Source organism: Homo sapiens, chromosome 4 (genome assembly GCF_000001405.40).
Source record: "Homo sapiens chromosome 4, GRCh38.p14 Primary Assembly".
Lineage (NCBI taxonomy): Eukaryota > Metazoa > Chordata > Mammalia > Primates > Hominidae > Homo > Homo sapiens.
In genome coordinates this window covers 139,210,140-139,223,978 of record NC_000004.12, presented here as the reverse complement: position 1 = coordinate 139,223,978, position 13,839 = coordinate 139,210,140, and the positions used below count along the sequence as shown (strand labels likewise).

Genomic DNA, 13,839 nt, shown 5'->3' with positions numbered 1-13,839 from the left:
TTAATCTGGGATTGCCTGCTCTGGGGGAAGCTGGCAAGCATGAAATGAGAACATTCAAGCAGCTCAAGAAGAGAGGCCCACATGCAGAGGAACTGAGGCTTCCTGCCAACAGCCAGCACCAACTTGCCAGATATGACAGTGAGTCATTTTGGAAGTAGATTTTCCAGCCTCAGTCAAACTTTCAGATAACTATAGACTTAGTTGACATCTGACTACAACCTCATGAGACATCTAAAACCAGAATATTGCAGCCAAACGACTCCTGAATTTCTGATGATCAGAAATGGTGAGAGATGATAAATGATTATCGATGTTTTAAGACACTAGGTTACAGGATAATTTTGTCATGCAGCATTAGATAATGAACATAACTCACACATATTCATATATAAGAGTAAAATGAATTTTTTTCGTTGCAAAATGTTTCTCAGCTGCCATTGCAACTACTGCAAATAAAACACCAATTCATGAATAGCTCCAGAGCCACACATTGAAACATGAGTAAAAGCAGGACAAATACATTTTTATTCTATTGTGAACCAATGCTTTTTTAGTGAAAGAATTTACTGCATTCATGCTGTTGAGAAAAAAAAAATCTGAAAGGTAAATTAATTTGTCTTTTCTTTTACTTAAGAACTTTTGTTACTCAAATCCTCCCCACAGCACAGAGCATCATCTCTCTCCAATGTCAGCAGCAGCACCCCATAAATCTGTCAGCATTCTTTTTTTTTTTTTTTTTTTTTTGAGACGGAGTCTTTCTCTTGCCAGGCTGGAGTGCAGTGGCGTGATCTCGGCTCACTGCAACCTCCACCTCCTGAGTTCAAGTGACTCTCCTGCCTCAGCCTCCTGAGTAGCTGGGACTACAGGCGTGCACCACCATGCCCATCTAATTTTTGTATTTTTAGTAGAGAGAGGGTTTCACCATGTTGGCCAGGATGGTCTCGATCTCCTGACGTCGTGACCCGCCTGCCTTGGCCTCCCAAAGTGTTGGGATAACAGGCGTGAACCACCGCACCCGGCCAATCTGTCAGCATGTAGAGGCAGTTGTGTTGTTTCAAGCACATGGCACAAGAGATGCAGAATGGGGACAGAATGGGCCCTGGGGCCTGAACACTGTTGGTCAGAAGAATGGATATTTAGGGCCTGGGTTCTAGTGCACTGAACACTGGATCCCAAGTGCCAGAGGCACTCGTGTGTTCTTTAACAAATACACGTGCCTTTGTGATATGTGAGGTTGTCTAAAGTGCAGGGCCCAGGGCAGAGGCCACCACTCACCTGGGCCTAAAGCTGGTACTGCAAGTGGACTCATTGTCCAGGTTCTGTGAAAAAAAGAATAATAGAGTGAAGAAGATAAACAGGATTGGCTGTATTGAGGAAATCAATGTTTTCATATGCCCTGAGCAGCAATTATTAGCCTTGACATTGACTGTTGCATACCATTTGGGGAACAGAGAAATCTCCTTTCCCCTGACTCCATGTCTAATCTTCCTGGCCTTTCTCCACCTCGTTCACTTACTGGTCCCTAAAGGAGCAGCAAAGGATTTGAATGGAGAGTTTGGGAGAAGGAGCTGAGCACGCTCAGGTTCTTCCTCCTTTTCTCTTTGAGTATTGCCTGTCTGCAGGGTACACAATCTGCTCTGCTTTTCCATGAGGTTGTCCACTACTGCCTGCAATGAGGCAGGTAAGTTCGATTCACGGGTGAGATGATAGGTAGCCCACTTGGCTAACACACCTAATCAACATCCTTCGACTGCTTTTCACAGCAGTAGAGGTGATAGTTTTTGCTCTCCTGTTGCCTTACTCTTTCACGTCTCTCTCAGTTGGTTCCATATATGGACATGAAACAGGGATATCATTCATTGGGCCCTCTAAATCCTAGCATGCAAGGTGGATGAGGTTCACGAGGGCATATGGTTTGAATATTGTACTTCTTTCATAGATGGGGCCACGTTTGGGCACAACCTTTAACTAATTCTCCATAACACAATTTAAACCATGGTTTCACTGGAGGCTCAGGGAGGGAGTGGAAAACAGAAAATAACTTGTAACTATGGCTCAAGTCCAGATATTCCCTGGGAGTCTCTGGCCAAGTTAGCTCTCTGCCTGGCTCTTGCACCATTATAATTAGTCTGAAGCAGCTCGCGCTGTCCCCGCAAACCTACTTTGCCATTGCAATCTCTAGCATCTCTGCCTCAGAATCTAGACCCTCCCAACCAGCCAGACCATTCTGAGTGCCATGGAGAGGAGGAAGACCATCTCTCCTCTGAGCCACAGCTCACCTCTCCAAATCCTCAATTATTGTCCTGGAACTGACCTCTTTCCAAATTGAGTGACAGTGGGAACATATTTTTCTTTCAGAGAAAAATTCATTGCCATATATAAGTGTGAATTCTGGCCCTATAGTTGTTTTGTTTTTTTGTTTGTCTGTTTTTTGTTTGTTTGTTTTTTGTTTTGTTTCTTTTTTTGAGACGAGGTGTTGCTCTGTCACCCAGGCTGGAGGGCAGTAGCACAATCTCGGCTCACTGCAACCCCTGCCTCTCAGGTTCAAGTGATTCTCCTGCCTCAGCCTCCCGAGTAGCTGGGATTACAGGCACCCACCACCACACCTGGCTAATTTTTGTATTTTTAGTAGAAGCAGGGTTTCACCATGTTGGCCAGGCTGGTCTCGAACTCCTGGCCTCAGGTGATCTACCCATCTTGGCCTCCTAAAGTGCTGGGATTACAGGCATGAGCCACCACACCCAGCCCCTGTGGTTCAGCTTACAATGCAGTGTGAAAGTGCATTTTTCAAAAGTCTGGGCTATGTAGTGTTAAATAACATCATGGATGAAAAAACATTTGATAATCCACAGGGAACTGTATCAAGCCTCGTCTAGTTCCTTTCTTTCCCTTTCTTTCTGCTTGAAGACTTTAGGCCTAAATGTTTTCTTTTTTTCGGTGTTTTTTTTATTTTTTGAGACACAGTCTCGCTGTCACCCGGGCTGGAGTGCAGTGGCGTGATCTCGGCTCACTGCAACCTCCACCACCTGGGTTCAAGTGATTCTCCTGCCTCAGCCTCCTGAGCAGCTGGGATTACAGGTGCCCACCACCACACCCGTCTAATTTTTGTATTTTTAGTAGAGGCAGGGTTTCACCATGTTGGTCATGCTAGTCTTGAACTCTCAACCTCAGGTGATCTGCCTGCCTGGGCCTCCCAAAGTACTGAGATTACAGGCGTGAGCCACCGCACCTGGCCTTTTTTTTTTTTTTTTCCAAAGACAGGATCTTGCTCTCTCACCCGGGGTTAAGTGCAGTGGTGCAATCATGGCTCATTGCAGCCTCAACCTCCTGCCTCAACCTCCTGAGTAGCTGAGACCATAGGCACATGCCACCACACCTGGCTAATTTTTCTTAAAAAGTGGTTTTTTTTTTTTTTGGCCAGGCACGGTGCCTCACGCCTGTAATCCTAGCATAAAATCCCAGCCAAGGCTGACGGATCAAGAGGTCAGGAGACTGAGACCATCCTGTTGCTCAGGCTGGTCTCAAGCTCCTGACCTCAAGTGATCCTCCCACTTTAGCCTCCCAAAATGCTGAGATTACAGGTGTGAGCCAGCACCTACCCACAGATGGCTATCTTATTGTATACTCACATGGTGGAGAGCAGAGAAAGAGGATGTTTTCATGTGTCTTCCTCTAAGGGGACTAATACCACTCATTAGGGTTATGACCTAATTACTTCCCAAAGTTTCCATCTCCAAATACCATCACATGAGGGATTAGGGTTTTAACATACAAATTTTGGGGAGACACAAACTTTCAGTCATTAGCAATCAGATATCCTTGACCAGATATTCCTAAGCTCATTATTTACCAGGTGTGTAAACAGGCCTATGGAAATCAGAAAATGAGACAGGAATGAAAGAGGTTTATTGGTAAATTTAGTCTGTGAGAGATAAAAGAGGTAGTAAGCAGGATGGGGCAGAGAGAGACTTGGGACATTGCAGATTTGACAAAGTCTCAGTCAGTTCAGCAGGGAGCTCCACAGCAAAGATTGTTAGAAGAGGCCAGCTTTGGGCAGAAATGACCAGTCCTACTTACCCTTGCCATGCACGATTATTGTCTGGGGCTGCCCATGAAAAGCATGGCCTCAAATTGAAAGCTGAGGTGAATAAGCTCACTCACTCACTTCCTTCCTTCCTTCCTTCCTTCCTTCCTTCCTTCCTTCCTTCCTTCCTTCCTTCCTTCCTTCCTTCCTTCCTTCCTTTCTCTCTCTCTCTCTCTTTCTCTTTCTTTCTTTCTTGACACAGAGTTTCACTCTGTTGCACAGGCTGGAGTTCAGTGTCATTATCTTGGCCCACTGCCATCCCCACCCCCCGGGTTCAAGTGAGTCTCCTGCCTCAGCCTCCCAAGTAGCTGAGATTCTCCATATTGCCCAGGCTGGTCTTGAACTCCTGACTTCAAGTGATCTTCCTGCCTCGGCCTCCCAAGGCCTCCCAAGTGGCATGAGCTACTGTGCCGAACCCAGCATCACTCTTAAAATACACACCTAGGCCAAGCGCAGTGGCTCACACCTGTAATCCCAGCACTTTGGGAGGCCAAGGCAGGCAGATCACCTGAGCTCAGGAGTTTGAGACCAGCCTGGCCAACATGGCGAAACCCTGTCTCTACTAAAAATACAAAAATTAGCCAGGCATGGTAGTAGGTGCCTATAGATAGACCCAGCTACTCTGGAGGCTGAGGCACAAAAATCACTTGAACCTGGAAAGCAGGGATTGCAGTGAGCCCAGATACAGCCTGGGCAATAGAATGAAACTCCGACTCCGAACAAAAAAAAGATATACATCTAAGCTGTTGACATCATCTTCAAGGTCCTGAGGATCACTCCCATCTCCCTCTTCAGCCTAAGTTCATTCCCTTCACTCAACTGTGATCGAACACAGTGGTCTTCCTTCTATTCCTAGAAAACGTCCCTTGTTTCTCCCTTTCACAGGGTTTTGTATATGCATTTGCCTCGGCCTGGGGACTTTTTCGAATCCATTCTATGTCTGAGAAATTCTGCATGACCCAGGTTGGTGTGTGTTTGCTTGTTTTTCCTTATTTAACATAGTCTAAATTTCCATCAATTAATGCAATTCTTCTTTTTAAAAATTAAGCAAAATAGCTGAGTGCAGTGGTTCATGCCTGTAATCTCAGCACTTTGGGAGGCCAAGGCAGGCAGATCATGAGGTCAGGAGTTCGAGACCAGCCTGGCCAACATAGTGAAACCCCGTCTCTACTAAAAATACAAAAAAATTAGCCAGGTGTGGTGGCGGGTGCCTATAATCCCAGCTATTTGGGAGGCCGAGGCAAGGAGAATCGCTTGAACCTGGGAGGCAGAGGTTAAAGTGAGCTGAGATTGCACCACTGCACTCCAGCCGGGGTGACAGTGTGAGACTCCGTCTAAAAAAAAAAAAAAAGAAAAAAAAATTAAGCAAAATATAGGTCAGAGGGCAGAGCTTTTATTAAAATAAAATTTTAGGCTGGGCGCAGTGGCTCATGCCTGTAATCCCAGCACTTTGGGAGGCTGAAGGCAGGTCACGAGGTCAGGAGATCTAGACCATCCTGGCCAACATGGTGAAACCCCGTCTCCACCAAAATACAAAAAATTAGCTAGGTGTGGTGGCATGCACCTGTAATCCCAGCTACTTGGGAGGCCAAGGCAGGAGAATAGCTTGAACCCGGGAGGTGGAGGTTGCAGTAAGCCGAGATCACTCCACTGCACTCCAGCCTGGCGACAGAGCGAGACTCTGTCTCAAAAAAATAAAAAATTAAAAAAGTAAAAATTTAAAACATATACAAAGTATAAATAGGCATCTAAAATACTGAAGGAAAATATTATCACACAAGTCACACATAGAAAAAGTTGGAGACTGGGTGCGTTGGCTCACTTGTGTAATCCCAGTACTTTGGGAGGCTGAGGTGGGTGGATCACTTGAGGTCAGGGGTTCAAGACCAGCCTGGCCAACATGGTGAAACCCTGCCTCTACTAAAAATACAAAAATTAGCTGGGTGTGGTGGTGGGTGCCTGTAATCCCAGCTACTCGGGAGGCTGAGGCAGGAGAATTGCTTGAAGCTGGGAGGCGGAAGTTTCAGTGAGCCGAGATCGCGCCACTGCACTCCAGCCTGGATGACAGAGCAAGATTCCATCTCGAAAAAAATAAAAAATAAAAATAGAAATTTACCTTCGGAGCCTGTTTCATGAAAAAGTTAAAAAAAAAAATCTTTCCTCACAGTTCTAGAGCCTGGAAGTCTGAGACCAGGATGCCAGCATGATGGTCAGGCTCTGGTGAGCGCTTCTTCCTGGCTTCCAGTTGGCTGCCTTCTCACTATGTCTTCACATCGCACAGAGCGAGAAAGAGAGAGATCTCTTCCTCTTAGAAAGCCATTCTTTTCCGATTAGGAACCTACCGTTATGACCTCATTTACCCTTAATTATCTCCTAAAAACCCTATTTCCAGATACAGTCCCATAAGGATTAAGGCTTCTCCATATGAATTTGGGAGGAGACACAAGTCAGTTCATAGCAGGAACCATGAAAAAAATCATTAATACATAATATTCTGTGAAAAAAAAGCAGAATACAAATTGATAAAATTGGACTCTAATTTCTGGCAGTACAACTAACTGTATATCCTGAAAAACTTTTTCCTATAAAACATCTAGAAAATATAATGAATGAGGTGGAGTTTTTTGGGTTTGTTTGTTTGCTTGTTTGTTTTTTGAGAGAAGGTCTTTCTCTGTCATCTAGGCTGGAGTGCAGTGGCGTGAACACGGCTGACTGCAGCCTCAATCTACTGGGCTCAAGTGATCCTCTTTCCTCAACCTCCTGAGTAGCTGGGACCAGACATGTACCACCATGTGCCACCACGCCTGGCTAATGTTTTTTTTTTTTTTTTGTATTTTTAGTAGAGACGGGGTTTCACCGTGTTAGCCAGGATGGTCTTGATCTCCTGACCTCGTGATCCACCCACCTCGGCCTCCCAAAGGGCTGGGATTAACAGGCATGAGCCACCGCACCTGGCTGATGCCTGGCTAATGTTTTTAAATTTTTTGTAGAGATGGGGTTTTGCCATGTTGCCCAGGTGGTCCTGAACTCCTGGGCTCAAGCAATCCTCCCTCCTTGACCTCCCAAAGTGTTGGGATTACAGATGTGCGCCACTGCATTCAGCCAAATGTTCTTTTAAATATGTAGCTGAACTTTTGCAAAAGAAAGAAATATCTGTAAGGGAAAGGAGGTGGCAAGAGAAAGAAGAGTGAGAACATTAATAATTGAAAATTGTTATTATTGGCCGGGTGCGGTGGCTCATGCCTGTAATCCCAGCATTTTGGGAGGCCAAGGCAGGCAGATCACCTGAGGTCAGGAGTTCAAGACTAGCCTGACCAACATGGAGAAACCCCATCTCTACTTAGAAATACAAAATTAGGCCAGGCATGGTGGCTCATGCCTGTAATCCCAGCCCTTTGGGAGGCGGAGGCAGGCGGATCACGAGGTCAGGAGATAGAGACCATCTTGGCCAACATGGTGGTGAAACCCCGCCTCTACTAAAAAAATACAAAAAATTAGCTGGGTGTGGTGGCGCATGCCTGTAATCCCAGCTACTTGGGCGGCTGAGGCAGGGGAATCGCTTGAACCCGGGAGGTGGAGGTTGTGGTGAGCCGAGATTGCACCATTGCACTCCAGCCTGGGCCACAAGAGCGAAACTCTGTCTCAAAAAAAAAAAGAAAAAGAAAAAGAAAATTGCTATTATTAACAATTTGAATTGTAAATAATAATTGAAAAATTAAATGACGTGTATACAGGTGTTCTTTAAACTATTCTTTGACTTTGCTGTGGGCTTGAAAATTTTCAAATAAAAAAATCAAAGTAAAACAGCAACAAAAATGACAACAATATAAACCTCAAATTCTGAACACAATATCACATAAGACAGGAGGAGGATGAAGGGGTGGCCAAGTTAATGAATTTCAAGGCCCTATATTCTGCAAAAGGGGTAGTGATAACTACTTTTTGTAGACAGAAATAGAGAAGCTATACATATTTTCTTTTTAAAAATTTCATGCTTTCATCTGAGATATTTTCAGTTTCTAAGTGTGACTTCATAATTTTTAATGTCTTGTTAGTCCCAAAGACATTAGACGTGCTTATACAAATATTTCTAAAAGTGGTAAAAAATATATTCAGAAAGATGTTTATCTCAGCATTGCTTATAGTAGCTTCACAAATTGTAAATGACCTAATTGAGGACTGGCTAAGTGAATTATGATACATATATTTAGAGTTATTCTGTGAAATCATGAATAATGATATTTCTTCATATTTATTGACTTAGAAAAATTTCATGCTTGTGATTGAGTAAAATAGGTTACAGAATGCATATATGAGCTCTTTATATAAAATCATTTTACTATATCTGTAATTATGACCATGGTTGTCTCCGGGTAATAATACTCCAGGTGATTTTTACTTTGTACTTTATACTTTTCTGTATTTAGATTGGTTTAAATGGGCATGTTTCATTAAAAAAATTAAAGCTATGCTTAAATATAAATGCTAAAAAAATTCAAGGTTTTTTTGTTCTTTCTATTTCCCCCTGGGCTCTATCCATTAGCAAAGAAGTCTATGAAATCATTGCACCTGGAAGCAAAGGGCAAGCAAGGAAAGAGCAGACCATGGTTGTACTTTTTCCTCTTTTGTAAGCAGTTGAGCTCCTGCAATCTGTAGTAGGACTTTAGTATATACGCAAAAAAAATCTGTTGTTTTCTTCTTGTCTGGTAGTTTGGAAGATGTGGTCTATTGCTGCCTGACAAGGAGATACACAGAGAAAGGGGTCATCATTTCCCTGGTTGATTTGAGTAAAAAAAAGATTCCCTAGGGCTCAGCTACCACTAGGGATTAGAAAAGCAGCTGTGATCAAATAAGTACCCAAAGGCTATGGAACTTAATATCAAAGAATTCTTCTCAATCCCAGTACTCAAGATGACTTCTCCCTTCACATTTTTTTAACATTCCACCCAATTCATCTACCAGAATACTTTTTAGTTCCTTTCTCAGCAACTCATTTTCATTTTCTCTAAACCTTGCACTAGGGCACTGCTTCCATTAGGTTTTAGAAAAGTATGTAAGTGCACAGGTAAGCTTTTTCCTAGTTATGAGGCATGGGTACCTCCCAGGCTCAAAGACAAACCAAAGTTCTTAATGTTATGTAACCCACAGGCAAGGAAATGAATCTGAGAGTCTCTAAAGTATTTAATATTGAAATGTTTATCCTGACCCAAGTCACTTAGCCAAGCCTCCTATTTGTACAGTTATGAACATTTGTCCTTGGAGGTCCTCAAAATCCATTTTCAAAATAATCTAGATTTTTAAAATGTTAAAATCTTTGTTGAGAGTACAGGATAGCCACTCTCAAACACTGTTAAAGGGAGTATAAATTTGTATAATCTTTCTGAAAGACAATTTGATAAAAGGTATTGCTATGAACTGAATTGTGTCCCCCTACCACCCCTCACAAATTCATATGTTGAAGCCCTAACCCCAGTGCGACTATATTTGGAGACAGGGCCTTCAAAGAGGTAAATAAGGTTAGATGAGGTCAGAAGGTGGGGCCCTAATCTGATGGGACTGGTGTCCTTGAAAGAAGAGGAAGAGAAACCTGAGCTCTGCTTCTTCCCATGCACCCAGAGGCAAGGCCATATGAGGACACGCCAAGCAGGCAGACGTGTAAGAGCCAATAAGAGAGCCTTCACCAGAACCCGGCTTTTTGGTTAGAGCGTGCTCTGAATGCAGGACCTTGGTCTGTGTTCACAGTAATGAAGCGGATCTCAGAGTGGCCAACAGTGGCCCATGAGGCAGCCGAACACCTGCAGATCCAGGCTCTCTCTAATTCCTAACTATGAGGACTGTTTCTAATGTATTTGTTTCTTCATTTTTTCCATCCCCCAAATAGAAATATCTTGTCAAAAATGATTTTTAAAACAGTATATATGCACCCTATAAACAATTAGAATAATGCAAAAGTATGTGAACTAAAAAGACTGTCTGCTCCTGTCTACTCTCTGTTTCAGTATTCTTACATAAAAATGATACATCCTGGCTGGGTGCAGTGGCTCACGCCTGTAATCCGAAATTTGGGAGGCCGAGGTGGGCGGATCACTTGAGGTCAGGAGTTCAAGACCAGCCCAGCCAACATGGTGAAACCCCGTCTCTACTAAAAATGCAAAAATTAGCCAGGCGTGTTGGTGGGTGCCTATAATCCCAGCTACTCAGGAGGATGAGGCAGGAGAATTACTTAAACCCGGGGCGTGGAGGTTGCAGTGAGCCGAGATCGCGCCACTGCACTCCAGCCTGGGCAACAGAGTGAAACTCTGTCTAAAAAAAAAAAAAAAAAAAAAAGATACAGCCTATCCATAGTGTGGAATAACATGGGTCTTCACTCAATAACATATATTAGATGGCTTTCAATGTCCAACGTGTACTGGGTGTCTAAAAAGTTGGGAAATCTGGGATAAATTTATTTTATTTTAAAAATTGTGGTAAAATATTCATAACCTAAACTGTGCCATTGTAGCCATTTTTAGGCAAACAGTTCATTAAGTACATTCATAATGTGCAATCATCACTCCTAAGATAAACTTATTTTTAGACAGCAGATAATTTACATTTTCGAATAATATTCTCAATATATTTTTTCAACCTCCAGATACCATTTCAGGTAAAGGACCTTTACATTTAAAGCAATGGGTCCAAATGTTAATCGGAACAAACCAAAATAAATATACTATTTTCCTTGTATTTCCAAGGCTTGTGGACACTGTAGTGCTCGAGGCAGTCAGGAGGTGGAGAGAAGTGAACAGGGTTTCTGTAGTCTTAGCTCAAATACATAATGAATAATGAATATGTATATTGAATAATGAATAATGTATATGTAACTTTGGGCAAGTTAAGCTCTCTGTGTTCTATTATTGCTTGATTCTTCTTTCACCCTACATTGTAGTGATCTCCAGAGAGCTTTACTCTTTTCTTTACCCTGGTAAACACAGTTTTATAAGTTGTTTAAACAGAGACTTGCCTATGTGATAGAATTTAACAGATAGCAAAAGAACTACCCATGCAAACCAACTTTTGTAATAACCTGCCATGTTGCATGGCATTCCAACTTGACATCACTCCTCTTCAGAACCGGCCTCATGGGTGTGCAACCTGTGTGGCTGCACATGTCCCCATGCTTAGATGGGCCCTGTACTTGGTTTAGTGTTCTGCTGTTGCCATCTTAAAATACTTTTTTTTTTTTTTTGAGACAGTGTCTGGCTCTGTCACCCAGGATGGAGTGCAGTGGCATGATCTCGGCTCACTGCAACCTCTGCCTCCCGGGTTTAAGCGATTCTCCTGCCTCTGCCTCCTGAGTAGCTGGGACTACAGGTACCCGCCACCACACCCGGCTAATTTTTTTTTTTTTTTTGTATTTTTAGTAGACATGGAGTTTCACTGTGTTAGCCAGGATGGTCTCGATCTCCTGACCTTATGATCCGCCCGCCTCGGCCTCTCAAAGTGCTGGGATTACAGGCGTGAGCCACCGTGCTCGGCCAGCATCTTAAAATTCTTAATAATTTTTGAGTTAGTACACAAGGGGCCCTGCATTTCATTTTGCCTTAGGTGCCATAAATTATGTAGCCAGTCTTTTGGGTGAAAGCATTGTCTTCAGAAGGGTCTTTTTTTTTTTTTTTTTTTTTTTGAGAAAGAGTCTCGATTTGTCACCCAGGCTGGAGTGCAATGGTGTGATCTTGGCTCACTGCAACCTCCACCTCCCGGGTTCAAGCGATTCTCCTGCCTCAGCCTCCCAAGTAGCTGGGATTACAGGTGCCTGCTACCACACCTGGCTAATTGTTTTTTATTTTTAGTAGAGACCGAGTTTCGCCATGTTGGCCAGGCTGGTCTGAAACTCCTGACCTCAGGTGATCCACCCGCCTTGGCCTCCCAAAGTGCTGGGATTACAGGTGTAAGCCACCGCACCGGGTCCAGAAGGGCCTTATTTTAAGAGCAAACAATTTACCTGGAAAACATACCGTATTAATAATATACCAGTTAACACATTCGCATTTTATCACATTAATTAATGTGTTAATTAGTTAATTAAGAAATCAGCACTCTGAAGGATTGAAGCATAGAACCTCTGAATTTTTTTTTTTTTTTTTTTGAGATGGAGTCTTATGCCACCCAGGCTGGAGTGCAATGGCGCAATCTCCGGTTCACTGCAACCTCCGACCTCCAGGTTCAAGTGATTCTCCTGCCTCAGCCTCCTAAGTAGTTGGGATTACAGGCATGTGCCACCACGCCCGGCTAATTTTTGTGTTTTTGGTAGAGACAGGGTTTTGCCATGTTGGCCAGGTTGGTCTGGAACTCCTGACTTCAGGTGATCTGCCCACCTTGGCCTCTCAAAGTGCTGGGATTACAGGCGTGAGCCACTGCGCCCAGCCAAACCTCTGATTTTTGATGTGGAAAACCATCCTGACTAGGTTCACAACATGAATACTACCTGCCTCCCAGGGTCTCTGAGAGCATGGGTGGGAGGAGGTTAATGAAGTGCACTGAACACCAGAGGACTTGACATATTTTTGTTCAATGTCAGTACAAATAAAATGGGTGAATAAATGAATAAATCAATAAATGTTAGGTGCTAAGGGGAAGAATGGGGAAAACACAAGACTCAAATTTATGTGTGTGTGCGTGTGTGTGTATGTATGTATATATATATTCTATAAGGTATAGGCATACAAATTTAGAGCTCCATCCTAAAGTAGAAACTAAATGATTGCTTCCTATCTGAGCTACTTTGGCTTATGGTATGCACTATAAGAAAAGCCATGCCCTGGGTTGGGCGTGATGGCTCACACCTGTAATCCCAACACTTTGGGAGGCTGAGATGGGTAGATCACTTGAGGTCAGGAGTTTGAGACCAGCCTGTTCAACATGGTGAAACCCCGTCTCTAATTAAAAAAAAAAAAAAATTAGCTGGGCATGGTGGCACATGCCTATAATCCCAGCTACTTGGGAGGCTGAGGCAGGAGAATTGCTTGAACCCGGGAGGTGGAGGTTGCAGTGAGTGAGATCATGCCATTGCACTCCAGCCTGGGCAACAGAGTGAAACTCATGTCTCAAAAAAAAAAAAAAAAAGAAAGAAAAGAAAAAAAGAAAAACCATCCCCACTCTCCTAGTCACAGCAAATGGGATTAAGGACTGAAGCACAGGCTGAAGGCAGTAGCATAAAGCATGATGAGGGCCAGCTGGCTTTGCAGCACTCTGGCAGGCACTCTTGTCCAAGGATGATACTCTGCAATAAATGATGACAAGTCCACTCAAATAAAACATCTCTTTTGGGAAATATAAATACTAGATATACCAAGAAGAAGATGAATAGTTTTAGATAAGATTGCTGTTATGAATAAAGATCCTGGTTCCTGTAGTACCTTTTGCACAATCTCATGAAATATAATGCAGCTGGATGAGGCAATTTCCAGAGCTACCTGCCTTTCTTGAAACCCCAAATCCTTATATATCCTTGCAATACACTCTGTCATTGATGATAACCCATGTGTGTGTTCCTTCAATCTTAAACAAGCTAGCTAATTCAGAACACACTAATAATATTGCTATAACAAAAAATTTTACAGCCAGGCAGGCGTGGTACCTCACGCCTGTAATCCCAGCACTTTGGAAAGCCAGAGGTGGGCAGATTGCTTGAGCTCATGAGTTCGAGACAAGTCTGGGCAACATGTGAAACTCCATCTTTGCAAAAAATACAAAAACTAGCCAGGTGTGGTGGC

The 13,839-nt window shown here is 43.3% G+C and overlaps 1 long non-coding RNA gene across 1 annotated transcript in view; it reads right to left on the bottom strand.

Moving 5' to 3' along the window:
- LOC105379412 (uncharacterized) overlaps positions 1–13,839 on the bottom strand; it is a 69,678-nt gene that overhangs the window by 21,854 nt on the left and 33,985 nt on the right. The window contains exon 2 of the long non-coding RNA XR_007058273.1: positions 1,276–1,319. This is a non-coding gene — a long non-coding RNA (uncharacterized LOC105379412). The remainder of the gene's footprint in view (positions 1–1,275; positions 1,320–13,839) is intronic.